This window comes from Homo sapiens, chromosome 19, assembly GCF_000001405.40.
Source record: "Homo sapiens chromosome 19, GRCh38.p14 Primary Assembly".
Lineage (NCBI taxonomy): Eukaryota > Metazoa > Chordata > Mammalia > Primates > Hominidae > Homo > Homo sapiens.
In genome coordinates, this window is record NC_000019.10 from 55,287,465 (window position 1) to 55,308,824 (window position 21,360).

At 52.4% G+C, this 21,360-nt stretch overlaps 1 protein-coding gene across 1 annotated transcript in view, besides 1 other annotated feature; it reads left to right on the forward strand.

The window, feature by feature from the left end:
• The window catches only part of BRSK1 (BR serine/threonine kinase 1), a 28,566-nt gene that overhangs the window by 3,468 nt on the left and 3,738 nt on the right, over positions 1 to 21,360 (forward strand). The window contains exons 4-18 of the mRNA NM_032430.2: positions 2,016 to 2,156; positions 6,553 to 6,669; positions 6,750 to 6,783; positions 6,865 to 6,933; positions 14,048 to 14,194; positions 14,673 to 14,704; positions 15,233 to 15,403; positions 15,847 to 15,944; positions 16,203 to 16,362; positions 16,586 to 16,646; positions 17,087 to 17,456; positions 17,857 to 17,905; positions 17,999 to 18,122; positions 18,788 to 18,986; positions 21,175 to 21,264. Of these exons, the coding sequence (NP_115806.1) occupies positions 2,016 to 2,156; positions 6,553 to 6,669; positions 6,750 to 6,783; positions 6,865 to 6,933; positions 14,048 to 14,194; positions 14,673 to 14,704; positions 15,233 to 15,403; positions 15,847 to 15,944; positions 16,203 to 16,362; positions 16,586 to 16,646; positions 17,087 to 17,456; positions 17,857 to 17,905; positions 17,999 to 18,122; positions 18,788 to 18,986; positions 21,175 to 21,264 (1,862 nt within the window). The remainder of the gene's footprint in view (positions 1 to 2,015; positions 2,157 to 6,552; positions 6,670 to 6,749; positions 6,784 to 6,864; positions 6,934 to 14,047; positions 14,195 to 14,672; positions 14,705 to 15,232; positions 15,404 to 15,846; positions 15,945 to 16,202; positions 16,363 to 16,585; positions 16,647 to 17,086; positions 17,457 to 17,856; positions 17,906 to 17,998; positions 18,123 to 18,787; positions 18,987 to 21,174; positions 21,265 to 21,360) is intronic.
• Positions 15,777 to 16,071: a silencer, noted in NCBI's record as "tiled region #11129; HepG2 Repressive DNase matched - State 9:DNaseU, and K562 Repressive non-DNase unmatched - State 14:Gen5'". NCBI's record gives its function as "represses a minimal TATA promoter and a strong SV40 promoter by Sharpr-MPRA in HepG2 and K562 cells {active_cell/tissue: HepG2 | K562}" and the evidence as "EXISTENCE:reporter gene assay evidence [ECO:0000049][PMID:27701403]".

The window sequence follows — 21,360 nt, forward strand, 5'->3', positions numbered from 1 at the left end:
ACACAGGGAACCCCACTGTTGTCACGCTGTGTTGGGCCTGAGGCCAAGGGCAACCATCCTCCTACCGTGTCCCCAGCTCCAGCTCCTCGCCCTGTGGCACTGCATGGAATGCGCTCTGCTAGACAAGCAGGGTGCCCTCGACCAGACCCAATCTGCTATGGGCAGATGCCTCCTGTTTGTAAGGCAAGGGGCCTAGCAAAGCCCAAAGGATCTTCCCAAACCCCAACTCTGGAGCACTGGAGAGCCCCCCTCCTCCCCCGGCATAACTTCGGGTGCCGTGGCTGGACACCCCAACAATGGGCCGCCTTAGGAGGTCTGAGTCACTATCTCAAAGTCAATCACCCGCCAGGAAGGATGGGGGTGGGGGTCCAGCTGTCCAGACTCCAGAGAATGGGCCTCTTTGTCCAAACTCTGGTGACCCAAAGGACAGCTGGGCTGGGAAGCCGGAGAGGGGACAGCCCTCGTGTTCCCCCCCGGCACCCAGTCCCCCGGATGAACTGACATCAGGTCCGTCGATGCTGGCGCAGGTTTCACCACACGGGAAGCTGTCTGCCCGGCGCTCATGGGACCTGCTCTCAGGCTTTCCCAGGTGTGGTGGTAGGGAGGGGCTATTGTCCGGACCGGTGCATGGTCGCTCCCACTCCACTCTTGGCGTAGGGAGGCAGGGCCATGGGAGTTTATGCTTCGGGCAGGAATCCCAGCCATCTAAGAGCTCATAGAAATTGAGCTTTTGGGGCCAGGCGCGGTGGCTCATGCCTGTAATCTCAACACTTTGGGAGGCCAAGATGGGCGGATTTCTTGAAGAGCTCGAGACCAGCCTGAGCAACATGGCAAAACCCCGTCTCTACAAAAAATACAAAAATTAGCTGAGTGTGGTGGTACACCTGTAGTCCTACCTACTTGGGAGGCTGAGGTGGGAGAATTGCTTGAACCTGGGAGGCAGAGGCTGCAGTGAGCCAAGATCGTGCCACTGCATTCCAGCGTGGGCGACAGAGCAAGACTCTGTCTCAAAAAAAAAAAAAAAAAAACTCCAAACAACAACAACAACAAAAAAAAATGGTTGATGGAAACTGGAACCCCGTGTCCCAGAGGCTTATGGGAAGGGAGTTTGGGGGTTTTTTTGTTGTTTTGTTTTTTTGAGACAGAGTTTTGCTCTTGTTGCCCAGGCTGGAGTGCAATGGCTCGATCTCGGCTCACCACAACCTCCACCTCCTGGGTTCAAGTGATTCTCCTGCGTCAGCCTCCCGAGTGGCTGGGATTACAGGCACGCACCACCACGCCCAGCTAATTTTGTATTTTTAGTAGAGACGGGGTTTCACCATGTTGGTCAGGCTGGTCTTGAACTCCTGATCTCAAGTGATCCACCCACTTCGGCCTCCCAAAGTGCTGGGATTACAGGCATAAGCCACCGTGTCTGGCCAGAAGTGGGGGTTTTTAACTTCTAGGCGCTGATGGGAGTTGTCGTCTATTGCCTCACAGAAGCTGGCTTGGACTGGTGCAACCTTGCAATCGTTAATACTCGAAAATGAATTCAAATTTGAGTTTCCTCACTCCAGAGGGAATTAGAGGCTTGGCTTTCTAGGGGCTAATAGGAGTAGGGGTATCTTCACTTCCCAGGGTCCTATAAGAATTGGGGTCTTTGACCTTCAGGTGCTAATAGAGTCGCCTTATCTCCTGAAACCATTATGAGTCAAAGTGTTGGTTCCCCTCTGAAGCTGACATGGGAGGCTCTACTGCCCAGGGCTAATGGGACTTGAGTTTGGTTTCCTAGAGGCTGGTGGAAACTGGAGTCACTTCCTCCCAGGGAGTGATGGGAACTGGAATCTCTTCCTCCCAGGAATTAATGGAAACTGGAGTCTCTTCCTCCCAGGGACCCATGGGAATTGGAGTCTCTTTCTCCCAAGGATCATGGGAATTGGAGTTCTCTGCCACCAGGAGCCAGTGGAAGTGGGAGACCAGGCCCTTTGGTCCTCCACATGCCCCTTCCAGCCCTCTGCCCCCTCTATATCCTTTAGGTACCTGGTTCTGGAGCACGTCTCGGGGGGTGAGCTATTCGACTACCTGGTAAAGAAGGGGAGACTGACGCCCAAGGAGGCCCGAAAGTTCTTCCGCCAGATTGTGTCTGCGCTGGACTTCTGCCACAGCTACTCCATCTGGTGAGTGGGCAGCTTGAGGGGGAGGAGGGGCTGAGGGCTGCCCAGCAGACAGGCCCTTGGGGGCATGTGGAGGGCTGAGCAAAAGCCATGTGGTCGGCCCCCAAACCTTTATCCCATTGAGACATAACTCATACACCAGAAAATTCCTCCTTTTAGAGTGTGTAATTCAGTGGTTTTTGATATATTTGCAGTGGTATACATCTGCCACTGTGGAATTTTAGAACATTTTCTCACCCTGTACCCATTAAGTAAGCAGTCACTCCCCATTCCCCTCCTGCCCCCAGCCCCCGGCAACCTATGTTCTGTCTGTATGGATTTACCTATTCTAGACGTTTTATATAAATGGAATCATACGATACATGGCCCTTTTTGTATTGTTTTGTTTTGTTTTTGAGATGGAGTTTTGCTCTTGTTGCCCAGCAGGAGTGCAATGGTGTGATCTTGGCTCACTACAACCTCTGCCTCCCAGGTTCAATTGATTCTCCTGCCTCAGCCTCCGGAGTAGCTGGGATTACAGGTGCACACCACTACACCTGGCTAATTTTGTATTTTTTTAGTAAAGTCGGGGTTTCACCATGTTGGCCAGGCTGGTCTCGAACTCTTGACCTCAGGTGATCTGCCCGCCTAGGCCTCCTAAAGTGCTAGGATTACAGGCGTGAGCCACCACTCCCGGCCTCTTTGCCCATCTTTAATTCAGTTATTTTTTAAAATTTGATTTAGTCTTTTTATTATTGATTTGTAACAATTTTTTATTCTAGGAACAAGAGATTACTCTAGGAACAAAATTATTCCTAAAAATTATTCTGTATGATGACAGCAAGAACAAGGGGGAAAATTTAACAAAGAAAAAAAGAATTGTTTATTCTAGATGCAAGTCTTTCATCAGTATACATTTTTAAATTATTTTCTCCAAGTCTGTGCCATGTTTTTACATTTTTATAAGTCTTGTGAAAAGCAAAAGATTTTTCATTTTGATAAATTCCAGTTTGTTGATTTTTTTATTTTACACCTCATGCTTTTTCTTTTTCTTTTTTTTTTTGAGACGGAGTCTTGCTCTGTCACCCAGGCTGGAGTGCAGTGGCGCGATCTCGGCTCACTGCAAGCTCCGCCTCCCGGGTTCACGCCATTCTCCTGCCTCAGCCTCCCAAGTAGCTGGGACTACAGGCGCCCGCCACCACGCCCGGCTAATTTTTTGTATTTTTAGTAGACACGGGGTTTCACCATGTTAGCCAGGATGGTCTCAATCTCCTGACCTCGTAATCCGTCCGCCTCGGCCTCCCAAAGTGCTGGGATTACAGGCATGAGCCACCGCGCCCGGCCTACACCTCATGCTTTTTCTGTCCTATTTAAGAAACTTTTGCCCAACTCAAGGTCACTAAGGTCTTCTGTATATTTTCTAGAAGTTGTATAGTTATAGCTCTTGCATTTAGGTCTGGCATCCATTTCAAGTTAATTTTTGTATATGGTGTGAAGTAAGGGTTGAGTAAGGGTTATTTATTTATTCATTTATTTTTAGTTTAGTTTAGTTATTGAGACAGGGTCTTGCTATGTTGCCCAGGCTTGTCTCAAACTCCTGGGCTCAAGGCATGAGCCACTGCGCCTGGCCTATGTGTCCACTTTTAAAGATTTTTTTTTTGGCTGGGCATGGTAGCACATGCCTGTAATCCCAGCACTTTGGGAGGCCAAGGCGGGCAGATCACCTGAGCTCAGGAGTTCGAGACCAGCCTGGGCAACAAAGTGAGATTCCCCCCATCTCTCCAAAAAATAAAAATAATTAGCTGGATGTGGTGGCGTGTGCCCGTGGTCCCAGCTACTTGGGAAGCTGTGGTAGGAGGATTGCTTGAGCCCAGGAGGTTGAGGCTGCAGTGAGGCAACAGAGTGAGACCCTGTCTCAAAAAAAAGAAAAGTTATTATTTTTTTCATTGAATTGACTTTAGCCTCCAAATCAGATATTAAATGTGCAACGTTTTTCTAACTGTTCAGGTACAAAATGAATGCCTTCATCTTTTAGCCTCCTTCATTTGCGCATCTCTCTCACTAAGATGTGTTTTTGGAGATGGGGTGGGGATCACGGTAGAGGGACTCAGACTTTGGGTAAAGCTTGATGATAAAAAGGCCACCTACTTAAATTTTCGGTTTTTGTCTTTTTTTATTTTTTGAGACGGAGTCTCGCTGTCACCCATCCTGGAGTGCAATGGCACGATCTCAGCTCACTGCAACCTCCACCTCCCAGGTTCGAGCGATTCTCCTGTCTCAACCTTCCGAGTACCTGGGACTACAGGCACCCGCCACCATGCCCGGCTAATTTTTTGTATTTTTAGTAGAGATGGGGTTTCACCATGTTGGCCAGGCTGGTCTCGAACTCCTGACCTCAGGTGATCCACCCACCTCGGCCTCCTGAAGTACTGGGATGACAGGCTTGAGCCACCGCACCCGGCCCTGTTTAAATTTTCCACACCTTCCTGTTGACAAGATTGTCAAAACCCTGATATTGAAACCCTGGCCTCTAGGGGGAGATATTCAACGTATTTAACAAGTTTGACCCAGTTAATGACCAGGCCAAATGAAAACTGCAGAATCCTACACTCCCTCTCTCCCCAGACACCAACCCTTAAACCTTGAGGAGTTTGGTTCAAGGGTGGGAAGGTCCCAAGACAGGAACCAAGGATTTTAAGAACCAGCTGCATATCAGCTTTACCTCAAAATAGCTCACTTTGTACATATTCAAATACTTACAGATAAACTAATATGACATCTGGGATGTCCTACAAACTAATTTGGGTTGGGGAGGAGTATGTAAGGGACAGAGATGAGATCAGATTGGCCCTAAGATGATCATGGATGAAGCTGGGCGATGGGTAAGTGAGGCTTCCTCTTACTTTCTCTCCAGTTTTGGGCACGTTTGTGATTGTCTATTATAAAAAGTTTCCAGGCCGGGCGCGGTGGCTCACGCCTGTAATCCCAGCATTTTGGGAGGCCGAGGCAGGTGGATTACCTGACGTGAAGAGTTCGAGACCAGCCTGGCCAACATGGTGAAACCCTGTCTCTACTGAAAATACAAAAATTAGCTGGGCGTGGTGGCACATGCCTATAATCCCAGCTACTCGGGAGGCTGAGGCAGGAGAATTGCTTGAGCCCAGGAGACGGAGGTTGCAGTGAGCCGTAATCGTGCCACTGCACTGCAGCCTGGTCGACAGAGTGAGACTCTGTCTCAAAAAAAAAAAAAAGGAAAGTTTCCAAAGCCAGACATGGTGATGCACGCCTGTGGCTCCAGCTACTCAAGAGGCTAAGGCCAGAGGATCACTTGAGCTGGGGAGGTCAAGGCTGCAGTGAGCTATGACTGTGGTACTGCACTCCAGGCCGGGCAACAGAAAGGGACCCCATCTCTAAGCATACACTTGATCTTAGCCAAAAGGCCGAGAAGCAATGCCCATCTCTAAAAATAAAAAACAAAATAGGCCGGGCGCGGTGGCTCACCCCTGTAATTCCAGCACTTTGGGAGGCCAAGGCAGGCGGATCACCTGAGGTCAGGAGTTCAAGACCAGCCTGGCCAACATGGTGAAACTCTGTCTCTACTAAAAATACAAAAATTAGGCCTGGCGCGGTGGCTCATGCCTGTAATCCCAGGACTTCTTGAACCCGGGAGGTTGTGGTGAGCCGAGATCACGCCATTGCACTCCAGCCTAGGCAACAGAGCGAGACTTCGTCTCAAAAAAAATAAAAATACAAAAATTAGCTGGGTGTGGTGGCACATGCCTGCAATCCCAGCTACTCAGGAGGCTGAAACAGGAGAATCACTTGAACTCAGGATGCGGAGGTTGCAGTGAGCCGAGATCATGCCACTGCACTCCAGCCTGGGTGATAGAATGAGACTCCATCTCAATAAATAAATAAATAAATAAATAAATAAGGCTGGGTGCTGTGGTTCACACCTGTAATCCCAGCACTTTGAGAGGCCAAGGCGGGCGGATCATGAGGTCAGGAGCTCAAGACCAGCCTGGCCAGCATAATGAAACCCCGTCTCTACTAAAAATACAAAAATTAGCTGGGCATGGTGGTGCGGCCTGTAGTCCCAGCTACTCAGGAGGCTGAGGCAGGAGAATCACTTGGACCCAGGAGACAGAGGTTGCAGTGAGCCGAGATCATGCCACTGCACTCCAGCCTGGGAGACAGAGCGAGATTCCATCTCAAAAATAATAATAATAAATACATACATACATATGATAAAAAATTAAAAATTTTTAAAAAGACCAAAATTAATGAATGATAATAAATGGTCTCTCATCCCCTAAAAATCCAAAAAGTATGCAGAAGTGTTCCACTGTGAGAGCCAGTCAGTGGGGCCTGGGCCTCCTGGGAGGAAGGAAGAGGCCTGAGTCCCACCTGGCTGTCTCAGCCACAGAGACCTAAAGCCCGAGAACCTGCTTTTGGATGAGAAAAACAACATCCGCATTGCAGACTTCGGCATGGCGTCCCTGCAGGTGGGGGACAGCCTCCTGGAGACCAGCTGCGGGTGAGTGGGGACTGGGCTCCCGAGACCCTGGGCAGGGGTTTAGAAGCTGGCTGGAGGCTCACATCAGCTCTCTCCCTCAGGTCCCCCCATTATGCGTGTCCAGAGGTGATTAAGGTGAGTGAGGGGCGGATAGAGGGGAGAGGGGTGGAGGCAGCAGTGAGGAGCGATGAAGTCACAACTGGCCTTCCCTTCCAGGGGGAAAAATATGATGGCCGCCGGGCAGACATGTGGAGCTGTGGAGTCATCCTCTTCGCCCTGCTCGTGGTAAGGCGCCCTCACCTCTCCTGTCATTTCTAGATCAATCCCACCTGGTGGGAGCATAGGACAGTACCTTCCATCCTCAGGTCATCTCCTGAATTTATTTATGAATTTTATTTATTTATTTTGAGACAGAGTCTTGCCCCGTCGCCTAGGCTGGAGTGCAGTGGTGTGATCTCAGCTCACTGCAACCTCTGCCTCCCAGCTTCAAGCAATTCTCCTGCCTCAGCCTCCCAAGTAGCTGGGATTGCAGGCGCCCACCACCACTTCCAGATAATTTTTGAATTTTTAGTAGAGACAGGGTTTCGCCATATTGGCCAGGCTGGTCTCCAACTCCTGACCTCAGGTGATCCACCTGCCTCTGCCTCCCAAAGTGCTGGGATTCCAGGTGTGAGCCACTGAACCCGGCCTATTTATTTATGTATTTTGAGACAGAGTCTTGCTCTGTTGCCCAGGCTGGAGTGCAGTGGTGCAGTCTTGGCTCACTGCAACCTACGCCGCCCGGGTTCAAGCTATTCTCCTGCCTCAGCTTCCCGATTAGCTGGGACTACAGGTACCTGCCACCATGCTTGGCTAATTTTTGTATCTTTAGTAGAGACGGGGTTTCACCATGTTGGCCAGGTTGGTTTCGAACTCCTGGCCTCAAGTGATCCACCCTCCTCGGCCTCCCAGAATGCTGGGATTACAAGTATGAGCCATCGTGCCCGGCAGCTGAATTTATTTTATTTTTATTTTTATTTTTATTTTTTGAGAGAGGATCTCTCTCTGTCGCCCAGGCTGGAGTGCAGTGGCGCCATCACGGCTCACTGCAGTCTCAATCTCCCAGGCTCAAGCAGTCCTCCCGCCTCAGCCTCCCGAGCAGCTGGGATTATAGGCTCTTGCCAACACGCCCAGCTAATTTTTGTATTTTTCACAGAGACAGGGTTTCGCCTTGTTTCCCTGGTCGGTCTCAAACTCCTGGGCTCAAGTGATCTGCCCACCTCAGTCTCCCAAAGTGTTGGGATTACATGCGTGAGGCCACCGAACCCAGCCCATCTCTCGAATATTTCACTGGTAATGGGAAAGATACTACATTAACCAACAGACCAAGATCCTGGAGTTCCCCCACTCTGTGGGGAGCTAACCTTTTCATTCACAGAACTGTGGGTTAAAAAGATAAAAGAACTATGGGATAGTCTCCAGGAAGAACCCCAGAAAGGAACAAGTCATCCAGGAGCACCTGGAGGGCTTGATACAATGACTGTTTACCAGCTGATTCTAGGGCATTGTGATACTGTAATAACAAGTATAACCAGGCCGGGCACGGAGGCTCACACCTGTAATCCCAGCACTTCAGGAGGCCGAGCGGAGGCAGATCACCTGGGGCCAGAAGTTTGAGACCAGCCTGGCCAACATGGTGAAACCCCATCTCTACTAGAAATACAAAAACTAGCCGGGCTTGGTGGCGCATGCCTGTAGTCCCAGCTACTCAGGAGGCTGAGGCAGGAGAATCGCTTGAACCCAGGAGGTTGAGTTTGCAATGAGTTGAGATCGCGTCACTGCACTCCAGCCTGGGCGACAGAGTGAGACCCTATCTAAAAATATATATATATAGCCAGATCGTAGGCTATCAGCCCTGCTCCTACCACAGGGCCTTTCTGCCTGGGACACTCTGCTACCTATTAGCCTTGTTGCTCACCTAGTTCATATCTAGACTTCTTCAAGCTCTCTGCTCAGTTGTCACATTTCCAGGAAGCTTCCCCTGCCCCCACTCCTCCTCCCCACTCCTGTAAGGTCAGACCCCCCTGTGGTAGGCTCCCTTCTTCCTGGCAACGATCAGAGTTGTCGCTGTGCATTTTGTTGCCTAATTCGTTGAGTGGCATCTCCCTTCCCTTCTGTATCATCAACTCCCTGAGGTCAGGGCCGATGTCTGGGGCATCTGTCTTTGTGTGTTTTATTTCATTTTGCTGGCTTGCCTTTGCAAACCTAAAGTTGACACATGTAAGTCCCCAGTGAACACCTGTAGTGAGAATAAATCAGCAGTTGTCCGGGCGCAATGACTCACGCCAGTAATCCCAGCACTTTGGGAGGCCAAGGTGGGAGGATTGCTTGAGCCCAGGAGTTCAAGACCAGCCTGGGCAACATAGCAAGCAAGACCCCATCTCAAAAGAAAGTTAAGAAAGTAGCCAGGCATTGCCGGGCGCGGTGGCTCACGCCTGTAATCACAGCACTTTGGGAGGCCGAGGTGGGCGGATCACGAGGTCAGGAAATCGAGACCGTCCTGGCTAACGTGGTGAAACCCCGTCTCTACTAAAAATACAAAAAAAATTAGCCGGGAGTGGTGGCGGGCGCCTGTAGTCCCAGCTACTCGGGAGGCTGAGGCAGGAGAATGGTGTGAACCCGGGAGGCGGAGCTTGCAGTGAGCCGAGATCATGCCACTGCACTCCAGCCTGGGCGACAGAGCGAGACTCCGTCTCAAAAAAAATGAAAAAAAAATTAGCCAGGCATGGTGGCACCTGCCTGTAGTCCCAGTTACTCAGGAGGCTGAGGTGGGAAGATTGCTTGAGCCCTGGAGGTCAAGGCTGTAGTGAGCCATGATCATGCCACCGAACTCCAGCCTGGATGACAGAGTGACACCTCGTCTCAAAAATAAATAAATAAATAAGTAATAAGTAGAAAAGAAAAAGAATACATAAGTTTTTTTGTTTGTGTGTGTTTGTTTTTGAGACGGATTCTTGCTCTGTCACACATGATGGAGTGTAGTGGCGCCATCTCGGCTCACTGCAACCTCCACCTCCTGGATTCAAGCGATTCTCCTGCCTCAGCCTCCCAAGTAGCAGGGACTACAGGCATGTGCCACCACGCCTGGCTAATTTTTGTATTTTTAGTAGACATGGGGTTTCACCATTTTGTCCAGGCTGGTCTCGAACTTGACCTCCGCCCGCCTCTTCCTCCTGGAGTGCTGGGATTACAGGTGTGAGCCACCACGCCCAGCCATAAGCAGTTTTTTTAATGTCAGGCACTGTTCTGATCATGTTATTTCACACAATTCCCTCAGCAGTCCCAGGGAGGGGAAGTGACTGGCCCACGGGCACGCAGCTGATAAGCCGCAGGCCTGGGGTCAGTCCTTGGTCTCTTAACCACCAGGCTACATAACGGATACTAAGGGCAATGAGGCCAGCTCCAAGCTGGCTTCCTGGGGCTCACCACTCCATGGGGAGAGCAGCCGAGGTGCTCTGGAGACGAGCTAAGAATGTTCAGAACTCAGCCCTTCTTCACTTGGTGGCTAAAAGCCTGGTTCTGGAGCCCATCCAGCCGAGTTCCAATCCCTGCTCCCTCTCCCTGAGCGAGCCAGTCACCCTACCTCAGTGTCCTCATCTGCACCGTGGAAATACACATCATACCTATCATTGTAAGGGTTTTGTTTTCATTTTTATTTTATCTATTTATTTTTTCATTTTGAGACGGAGTTTCGCTCTTGTCGCCCAGGCTGGAGTGCAATGGTGCGATCTTGGCTCACTGAAACCTCCACCTCCCAGGTTCAAGATTCTCCTGCCTCAGCCTCCCAAGTAGCTGGGACTACAGGCACCTGCTACCATGCCTGGCTAATTTTTTTGTATTTTTAGTAGAGATGGGGTTTCTCCATGTTGGCCAGGCTGGTCTCGAACTCCTGACCTCAGGTGATCCACCCGCCTCAGCTTCCCAGAGTGCTGGGATTACAGGCGTGAGCCACTTCCCCCAGCCCACTGTGAGGGTTTAAATAAATGCTGCACGTGAAGCCCCTGGCACAATGCTTGATGATTATTATTAGTAGTTTATTCTTTTTTTTTTGTTTCTTCTTTTTTTTTTTTTTTTTTTTTTTTTTGAGATGAAGTCTTAGTCTTGCTCTGTAGCCCAGGCTGGAGTGCAATGGCTTGATCTTCTTCGCGGCAACCTCCACCTCCTGGGTTCAAGTTATTTCTGGCTAATTTTTGTATTTTTAGTAGAGATGGGGTTTCACCATGTTGGCCAGGCTGGTCTTGAACTCCTGACCTCAAGTGATCTGCCCACCTCAGCCTTCCAAAGTGCTGGGATTACAGGCATGAGCCACCGCACCTGGCCTAGTAGTTTATTCTTGTTCCAATAGTTCCTCATCATTTGCAGATTCCATATTTGCAAATTTGCCTACCTGTCAAAATGTATCTGTAACCCAAAATAGTCCTGGAGGTGCTTTCACAGTCATTGGCAGACATGCCCAGAGCAGGGGAAACCTGAGCCGCCCACCCAAGGTGCAGGTTTCCGGCTGAGGTCAAACAAAGTGACCCTGTTTCAGCTCTCATCCTGTAAACAATCCCCCTTTCACCACCTATTTCGTGTCACGTTTTTCACATTTTTGTGTTGTTGGTGGCAATTTCGTTGTTTAAAATGGCCATGAAGCCAAGTGCTTCTGAAGTGCCGTCTGGTGTTCCTAAGCGCGGGAGGCTGTGATGTCCCTTCTGGAGAAAGCCCCTCTGATGGGCATGCTTTGTTCAGGAATGACTTGTAGTGCTGCTGGCCATGAGTTCCGCGTCAATGACACAGTACATATGAAAGGTGTCTTTAAGCTGGGTGCGGTGGCTCACGCCTGTAATCCCAGCACTTTAGGAGGCTGAGGCGGGCAGATCACGAAGTCAGGAGTTCGAGACCAGCCTGGCCAATCAGGAGGCTGAGGCAGGAGAATCGCTTGAACCCGGGAGGCGGAGGCTGCAGTGAGCCGAGGTCATGCCACTGCACTCCGGGCTACAGTGCTAGACTCCGTCTCAATAAAAAAAGAAAAGTGTCTTTAAACAGAAACACATACAAACAAGGTCATGTAATGACTGGTTGACAAAAATGTGACGAGAGGGTCAAAGGAAGCTTACTAACTATAGTTCCTCCAGTAGCCGTGACTCGTTCACTAGTTGAGAGTTTGCAGTGACTTTATAGAACAGAACTCTCAAGAATAACAAGAATCAACTGTATTGTTGTTATAATTTGTTTTGGTTTTTTTTTTTGTTTTGTTTTTTGTTTTTTTTGAGATGGAGACTTTCTCTGTCACCTAGGATGGAGTGCAGTGGTGTGATCTCGGCTCACTGCAGCCTCCGCCTCCTGGGTTCAAGTAATTCTCCTGCCTCAGCCACCCGAGTAGCTGGGATTACAGGCGCCCGCCACTTTGCCCGGCTAAATTTTGTATTTTTAGTAGAGATGGGGTTTCACCACGTTGGCCAGGCTGGTGTCAAACTACTGAACTCAAGTGATCCTCGCCCCTTGGCCTCCCAAAGTGCTAGGATTACAGGTGTCAGCCACCATGCCCAGCCTGTTGTTATAATATTTAATCCAGACCGTACCCTTCCTGGCAGGATCATTATGTCCGTTTCACAGAGGAGAGGAAACTGAGGCTCTGTGCTTGAGCATCAGGCAACCAGAAGTCAAACCCAGGCTTCCGCACCCTAAGATCGGCATTCAGAGGTGCCTTCTCTGTATCTCCCCATTCTCCGTCCACAGGCCTCAGATACCAGGGGCAACTGGGAGCTTGCAACACCCGGAAAAGCCCTCAAAGGCTCACACCATCACCTCCCATGAGTCTTTGTCCATGGGGGGTCACCTTGGCTCCCCTCCAACCCTTGCCCTGGTGATTGGAAGCATTCCCTCCCGTCCCGTATGATACGTTCGCTTGTTTGTTTCCTGTCCCCTCTGGAATGCAACTTCTCTGCTCATTCCACCACCTTTGCTGATGACTTGAGTGTCGAGTGTGTGTCAGGCAGCGTCCCAGGCCAACTCCAGGAGGGCAGGGATGTGATTTTGTCCCCTGCTTCATGGCTGGTGGCTACGTCAGAATGCAGGATGTGGTGGGGTCTATGGTCAGTGCGTCACAGCAGCCAGCCTGTAACAGTCCTGACTGTGGGCCCAGCACTGTCATGTACTAGGTCAGTTCATTCTGATGCAGTCCGTGAGGTGGGTGCTGTGACGACCCATTGCCATTTTCAGAGCAGTGACTTGCCTGAGGTCATGCAGGTATAAGCCCCAGAGCAAGGATTCAAAGCAAGGCAGGGGACCAGGTGCGGTGGCTCACACCTGTAATCCCAGCACTTTGGGAGGCTGAGGCGGGCAGATCACCTGAGGTCAGGACTTCAAGACCAGCCTGGCCAACGTGGTGAAACCCCATCTCTGCTAAAAATACAAAAATTAGGCTGGGTGTGGTGGCTCACGCCTGTAATCCCAGCACTTTGGGAGGCTGAGGCAGGTGGATCACTTGAGGTTGGGCATTTGAGACCAGCCTGGCCAACATGGTGAAACCCCGTCTCTATTAAAAATAAAAAAATTAGCCGGGCATAGTGGCATATGCCTGTAATCCCAGCTACTCGGGAGGTTGAGGCAGGAGGATCGCTTGAACCTGGGAGAGGCAGAGGTTGCAGTCAGCCAAGAACACCTCATTGCACATCAGCCTGGGCGACAAGAGCGAAACTCCATCTCAAAAAAGAAAGAAAGAAAGAAAAGAAAAGGTGTCAGCAGGGCCCTGCTTCCTCTGGAGGCTCTAGGGAAGGATCCTTCCTTGCCTCTCCTAGCTTCTGGTGTCCTTGGCGTTCCTTCAGTTGCAGCTGTATCACTCCCATCTCTGCCTCCGTCATCACATGACTGTTCTCTGTGCCTGCGTCCTCGTCTCCTCTTATAAGGACACCAGTCATTGATTTAGGGCTCAGCCTCATTCAGGTCTCTGCTCCCATTGCACCTCCTGGGAGAAGCCTCACTCAGTCGCTCGTCATTGTATAGCTATTTGTTTGGAGCTGTGCAAGGGCAGAGGCCTGTTTTGTTCACTGCTGGATCCCTGACCTGTAACGGATGCTCACCTTTTGTTGAATGAGTGAATGAGAGACAACCGTTTCGAAACTGCTGTGGGGGGAAAGCTGTCTAAAAGGAACAGCCTCCACGCTGCAATTCTAGCTTCGTAAGCGGGGCTCCAAGCTGCTCCTTGCCAAGTGCCTGCTGTGCCACGGACGAGCTAGGGGCCTTTGGCAAATTGCTGAGCCTCTCTGTGCCTCAGTTTCCAACCCCTTAAGGTGGAGATCACCGTAGTTCCCCACCTCCAGTGCTTGTGGTGAGGGTGAAATGTGCTAATGAGGGGTCCTGGTTATCTCTTGCCCAGGGGGCTCTGCCCTTTGATGACGACAACCTCCGCCAGCTGCTGGAGAAGGTGAAACGGGGCGTCTTCCACATGCCCCACTTCATTCCTCCAGATTGCCAGAGCCTCCTGAGGGGAATGATCGAAGTGGAGCCCGAAAAAAGGCTCAGTGTGAGTTGAGGGGGGGACCGGCGGAGGGGGGAACAGTGGCCGATGAAGACAGAACCCCCTAGAAAAGTCATGGGGATGGGTTTCCAGAACCTGCTCGTCAGTCCCCAGGGTGACTGGGATCGCCAGCTGAGCCGCAGCCCAAGGTCCAGCACAGCTGCCGCTCCAAACTGGGGAGGGGGCTACGCAAGATTGGGGCGGGGAGCTCCAGGCAGCGGGAGGGCGCAGGAGTAAGGAGGCGAACAGGATGCCACTGCGCATGCGGCAAAGTAATGCGGCCGGTCCGGGGTACACGGAGACCGCGCGTGCGCGGGGCGATGCACTCAGTCGCCACTAGAGGGCGATGTAATATGTCATCCTGCCCCCGGTGGGGTGGGCGGGGAGATGATCAGGGACCCCAAAACCACCCCAGTCTTTCATTGCGCGCCTACATGTGCCTACGACCTCACTTCTGCTTCTCTACGACTCACCACCCTCACAGCTGGAGCAAATTCAGAAACATCCTTGGTACCTGTGAGTATGGGGTAACTGGACTCTTGGGTCCCTGGCGGAAATAGGGGAGGGGCCAAAGCAGTAGAAGCGGCTGGGAGGGGTGGGATGCCAGGGTTCCTGAGAGGCAACGGGCTAGGGACTCGGACTTATGGGTCCTGGGGGAAGAGGACACAGCTAGAGAAGGAGTCTAGGGGTCAGAGGCAGGAGGGGCTAAGCTAGGAGTCCAGGACTCCCAGGTTTGAGGGAAAAAGGGACTGGGGGCCTGGACTCCTGGATCCGAGGGAGGAGGGGCTGGGGGCCTGGACTTCTGGGTCTGAAGAAGGAGGGGCCGGGGGCCTGGACCCCTCGGTCGGAGGGAAAAGGGGCTGGAGGTCTGGACTCCTGGGTCTGAGATGGGGGGCGAGGTCTGGGGCGTCTGGATTCCTGGGTATGAGAGAGAAGGGGCCGGGGCCTAGACTCGGATTTCGGGGTCCGGGATCATTGAGTCTAGAATGAAGAATGCTGAATCTCAGAAGCCCGGTTCCCAATAATGTTTCTCCACTTCCCCAGAGGCGGGAAACACGAGCCAGACCCGTGCCTGGAGCCAGCCCCTGGCCGCCGGGTAGCCATGCGGAGCCTGCCATCCAACGGAGAGCTGGACCCCGACGTCCTAGAGAGCATGGCATCACTGGGCTGCTTCAGGGACCGCGAGAGGCTGCATCGCGAGCTGCGCAGTGAGGAGTAAGACCCCAAGACCCCTGCACCCGTGTACCCACGTGGGGCGAGCTGCAGCAGCTCCCTGCGCACATGCAGAGTGCTGGGCGAGGAACCCTGGCCTCTCATGGGGCATGGTTTGAAGCTCCCGCCTGGGAGTGATGGAACCAGCGGAGAAAACGGCCCAGAAACACGCTGAGAAAGTATTAATAGATGCTGCGACATAGTACTTACATATACATAGTACTTACAAATAGTTCTTGCCTGGATGTTAGGTGTTACAGTGTTATTATAATTGAGTGAAACACAGCTGAGATGTACCCTAAACCAGAGAAACTGACCATACTGATACCTAGAAAAAATGGAACCATGGGCAGAAATACAGGGAGCGGAGGAGACCTCCTCTGAGCATTGATGTTGGACCTCAGCCCTCTGCTACCTCTTTCCACCTTTCCCACCCCCTGCCTTAGGGAGAACCAAGAAAAGATGATATATTATCTGCTTTTGGATCGGAAGGAGCGGTATCCCAGCTGTGAGGACCAGGACCTGCCTCCCCGGAATGATGTTGGTGAGAAGGCAGGGCTAGGGGACCAGACACCTGGGTCTCGAGATTGGAAGAGGCTGGCCACGGGGACCCCAGATTCCCAAGGAAAGAAGGGGCTGCAGGCTCTGAGCTTCCAGCTTTAGACTGCTTGACTTGCTCTTTGACATTTATCAAATCCCCTCTCCACTCTAGGCCTGTTTCCCCATGTGTGCAGTTTCTGAGGCAGTTGTACACAGCTGGGTGAAACCATCTCTTGATTGGGTTGAAACTGTTGTCCCTCAGACCCCCCCCGGAAGCGTGTGGATTCTCCCATGCTGAGCCGTCACGGGAAGCGGCGACCAGAGCGGAAGTCCATGGAAGTCCTGAGCATCACCGATGCCGGGGGTGGTGGCTCCCCTGTACCCACCCGACGGGCCTTGGAGATGGCCCAGCACAGCCAGAGGTGGGAGCCCCTGTCCCTCCAGGAGGATCCACAATCCCTGGGTCTAGGAGTTCAAGATTCTAACCCCAGCTCTACCTCAAATGTGCTGTGTCCTTGGGACAATTCACCTCCCCTCTCTGGGCCTCATTTCCTCACCTGGAAGGACTGTAGAAGTGAGGGAACATCTGTGGTTTTTGAAACCCTCCCATCTGATTTTTTTTTTTTAAATCTATCCTGGAAACAGATCCCGTAGCGTCAGTGGAGCCTCCACGGGTCTGTCCTCCAGCCCTCTAAGCAGCCCAAGGGTAAGGCCAGGTCCCCAGTGGGATTTAAGAAGGAGAAAGGGGTGGAGACATGGAGCAAAGATTGAGTAGCAGAAACTACAATTCCTGTGCAGTCTTGAGACTTGCTTCTTTGTCCCTGGAGGGCCAAAGACCCAAGGCCTCCAAAGTATTTTGGTCCATTGGCCATTTCTACCTCCTTAGGATTGCATGCCTGAAGAGATTTTACAAAAGTTAGTTGAGTGCCTGCTGTGTACTAGTATCTGCACCGGCTGGGTTTTCAGCCCACAGCATGATAGAAAGTCTTTGCTATCCTTGCTCTGGGGCCTGGGAAGGAGGATACTTGGACTACAAGTTGCAGCATGCACCGGGCCAGCGTCCGTGAGTGTGCGTGTGAGTGGGGCTCCTAGAGCCTCCTGGGAGTTGTAGTCCACTCGCTTATCTCAGTCTCCTGTCCTCTGCAGAGTCCGGTCTTTTCCTTTTCACCGGAGCCGGGGGCTGGAGATGAGGCTCGAGGCGGGGGCTCCCCGACTTCCAAAACGCAGACGCTGCCTTCTCGGGGCCCCAGGGGTGGGGGCGCCGGGGAGCAGCCCCCGCCCCCCAGTGCCCGCTCCACACCCCTGCCCGGCCCCCCAGGCTCCCCGCGCTCCTCTGGCGGGACCCCCTTGCACTCGCCTCTGCACACGCCCCGGGCCAGTCCCACCGGGACCCCGGGGACAACACCACCCCCCAGCCCCGGCGGTGGCGTCGGGGGAGCCGCCTGGAGGAGTCGTCTCAACTCCATCCGCAACAGCTTCCTGGGCTCCCCTCGCTTTCACCGGCGCAAGATGCAGGGTATGGGGGCATGAACTGCCGAGTCCTAATGTGGGGAGAGGTTGGGGCTAAAAATCTGGTTCCAGGGATGTCCGTCTGGCGTGTCTAGAGAGGAAGGGACTGGGGGCCTGGATTCCCACGTTCTAGAGAAGAGGGGGTTTGAAGCAGAGGTGCACCTGTTGGGGAGAGAGGTGGGGCCTCTAGCTCTGGAGGAGGACCCCGATTGAAGGGCACGCGCCTTTGGGGCTCTGGATTACCTCCCATTGGCCCGTGGTTTGTGAGCCCCGCCCAGGAGGGATGGCTTGGCCGAGGCTGCAACCCAAGGCTCTGGAACCCTGGGAGGGGGCGAGTGCAGGCCTGTGTGCTGGCAACTGGGATGATGCACAGGTGTTGACCACGTTCTCTGCCTTCCCCCTACCAGTCCCTACCGCTGAGGAGATGTCCAGCTTGACGCCAGAGTCCTCCCCGGAGTGAGTCTCACAGGGAAGGAAAGAGTGGGGATGCAGGGGATTCATGCCCTCGGCGCCTTCCTAACCCTCCTCCAACCACCCCCTCCCACTCAGGCTGGCAAAACGCTCCTGGTTCGGGAACTTCATCTCCTTGGACAAAGAAGAACAAATATTCCTCGTGCTAAAGGACAAACCTCTCAGCAGCATCAAAGCAGACATCGTCCATGCCTTTCTGTCGGTGAGGGGCCTGGGTCCCCATCGAGCCTGGCCCCCGCAGAACTACAAGTCCCAGCAGCCCCTGGGGCTAACCACCTTAGCATAGGCCTGGCTTCCTCCTGGGGCTCATGGGATTTGTAGTTTTATGGCCAGAGTTGGTTAGAAGTCGGTAGGCAGGAAAGATTTATCGTGGCCAGAGGCCTGGAATTGGGGAAATAGGATCCTGAATTGCAATGTCCTCAAGGATTGGTGAGTTCCCATTCCCCTACTGCGAGGTTTGAAACTAGCCGAAGAAACTTCCCAGGCAATGTTAAGGCTGCCCCATTGCTGGTCTGTGGTTTTATGCCTACGGGTGGATGGGACTTAGAGTTTCTGTGACAGATATGGCTATGGGAAGCATTTGTAAAGGGAGCAAGCAGTGTTTCATGTGGTCTTGGAGTCTGAGGCTGTCACCTAGCTATCAGAGTCCTCATGATGTTAGGGGGATGTCCAACCATTCCTCCCTTACTCGCTGATAGGATAGAGAAAGCTACAAGTCCTTGCAGGCAGTGGGGCCTCCCAATGCATTTCCTGTCCTTCTTTCCCTCCAGTGGCTCATGGGACTCGTAGTTCCTTGGCCAGAGCTGGTCGTGGGGCTGGGTATCCATTTCCTGGGCTCACCCCTTCCTGTGTTCCTACCTCGCTCAGATCCCCAGCCTGAGTCACAGTGTGCTGTCACAGACCAGCTTCAGGGCCGAGTACAAGGCCAGTGGCGGCCCCTCCGTCTTCCAAAAGCCCGTCCGCTTCCAGGTGGACATCAGCTCCTCTGAGGGTCCAGAGCCCTCCCCGCGACGGGACGGCAGCGGAGGTGGTGGCATCTACTCCGTCACCTTCACTCTCATCTCGGGTGAGTCTCTTGGCTAGGCTGCCTGCAGCCCAGTGCTGGGACTGTTCACGACAGCTGAGACAGTGTAGGGGCCCAGGAGTGCAGCAGCAGGAGGAGGAAATGGTGTTCAGCTGGTGCCGACTCTCTGTGCTCCTCCTGCCCACACAGACCGCCCCACAAGCCCATCCTCTATTTCCCCACTCTCATCAGCATTTCCCTGGCATTTACAGTGTAAATAATGAATGCATTATCTCCTTGAAGCTTCCAAGCAGCCTACTGAGGTGTTAGTAATCACCCATTTTACGGAGGAGAAAACTGAGTCATAGGGAGGTCAATGGACTTGGCCAGAGTCACACAATACACTGTCGCAGAGCTGCAGCCCAACCCAGGCCTCCCAACTTCAGAGGAGAGAGCCCAGCTCTTCCTATTACTTTAAGATGGTAGAGCCAAAGGGTGAAGACACAGCACACTGCTGTCTAATATCAGTCTGCCCAGAGCAGACATTACCAATTGATGGCAGTGCTTATTCCTGCTAAGCTCAGTGGCAGCCTCAGGAACTTGAACTCCAGGCAGCCATGACCAGTCGAGGCTTGGCACAAGAAAGGAAAACCACTAAAATACCTTGCTTCCAGTTCTGCTTTCTGTTTGGTCCCTCCATCCTGATAGTGAGCATTTGGATAGGGAGGGATATCGCCGATCTCTTTGTCACCAATATTAATATGTCACAGGTGGGAGAGGGGCTTGCCCCAAAGATTTCTAAACCAAACGGCTGTGGAACTGTGGGTGTTCCGTCACCAAAACCAATTATGACTCTTTATTTTTCTGTCCCCCTTAAAGACTAACATGCAGGCTGGGCGCGGTGGCTCACGCCTGTAATCCCAGCACTTTGGGAGGCTGAGACGAGCAGGTCAGAAGTTCAAGACCAGCCTGGCCAACATGGTGAAACCTGTCTCTACTAAAAATACCAAAATAAGCCTCGCGTGGTGGTGGGCTCCTGTAATCCCAGCTACTCAGGAGGCTGAGGCAGGAGAATCGCTTGAACTCAGGAGGCAGAGGTTGCAGTGAGCCAAGATTGTGCCACTGCACTCCAGCCTGAGCGACAGAGCGAGACTCTGTCTCAAAAAAAAAAAAAAAAAAGGCTAATATGCAGACCTTTCTCAATTTTAAGACTTTTTCTGAGGCCAGGCATGATGGCTGACTCCTGTAATCCCAGCACTTTGGGAAGCCGAGGTGGGAGGATTGCTTGAGCCCAGGAGTTTGAGACCAGCCTGAGCAACATAATGGACCTCATCTCTACAAAACAAACAAAAAAATTTATACACACACACACACACACACACACACACACACACACACACAATTTAAAAAAAAAAAAAAAGCCCAGCACGGTGGCATGCACCTGTAGTCCCAGCTACTCCAGAGTCTGACGTGGGAGGATCACCTGATTCCAGGAGGTTGAGGCTGCAGTGAGCCGTGATCGCGCCACTGCACTCCAGCCTGAGTGACAGAATGAGACCTTGTCTCAAAAGAAAAAAGAAAAAGAAAAGACTTTCTCCGATTTCTTTTTCTTTTTTTTTGTTGTTGTTGTTGTTTGGTTTTTTTTTTTTTTGAGACAGAGTCTTGCTCTGTCGTCCAGGCTGGAGTGCAATGGCGTGATCTGGGCTCACTGCAACCTCTGCCTCCTGGGTTCGAGAGATTCTCTTGTCTTAGCCTCCCGAGTAGCTGGGATTACAGGCATGCGTCACCATGCCCAGCTAATTTTTGTATTTTTAGTAAAGACAGGGTTTCGCCATGTTGGCCAGGCTGGTCTCGAACTCCTGAGCAACCTCAAGTGATCTGCCCACATCGGCATTCCAGAGTGTTGGGATTACAGGCATGAGCCCCTGTACCTGGCTCCAACTTATTTTTCTTACATTTCTGGTCCTTCATGGCCTCCGCTAGAAACTAACAGCAAGCAATAGTATCTATTTGAATAGAAACCAACACCTGTTATTTGAAGTTGAAGGTATGTGAGTTTGACCGTGATCCTTAAATAGCAGCACAGACCCATTTGCAAACCGTGGATTGATGTGGCCCCAGCGGAGCAGGGGAGACGGAGATGCAGGGGGGGTGTTGTGTGCTTGGTGGAGGGACTGGGTTCTGCAGGCTGGGACGGCCTTCCCGGTCCTGGACCCCCAGTCAGTGTTTTTCTGCCCGCCTGTGCCTCTAGGTCCCAGCCGTCGGTTCAAGCGAGTGGTGGAGACCATCCAGGCACAGCTCCTGAGCACTCATGACCAGCCCTCCGTGCAGGCCCTGGCAGGTGGGTGGTGGGGCCGTGGGTGGTGGGGGGCGTGGGTGGCGGGGGCCGTGGGTGGCGGGGGGCGTGGGTGGCGGGGGGCGTGGGTGGCGGGGGGCG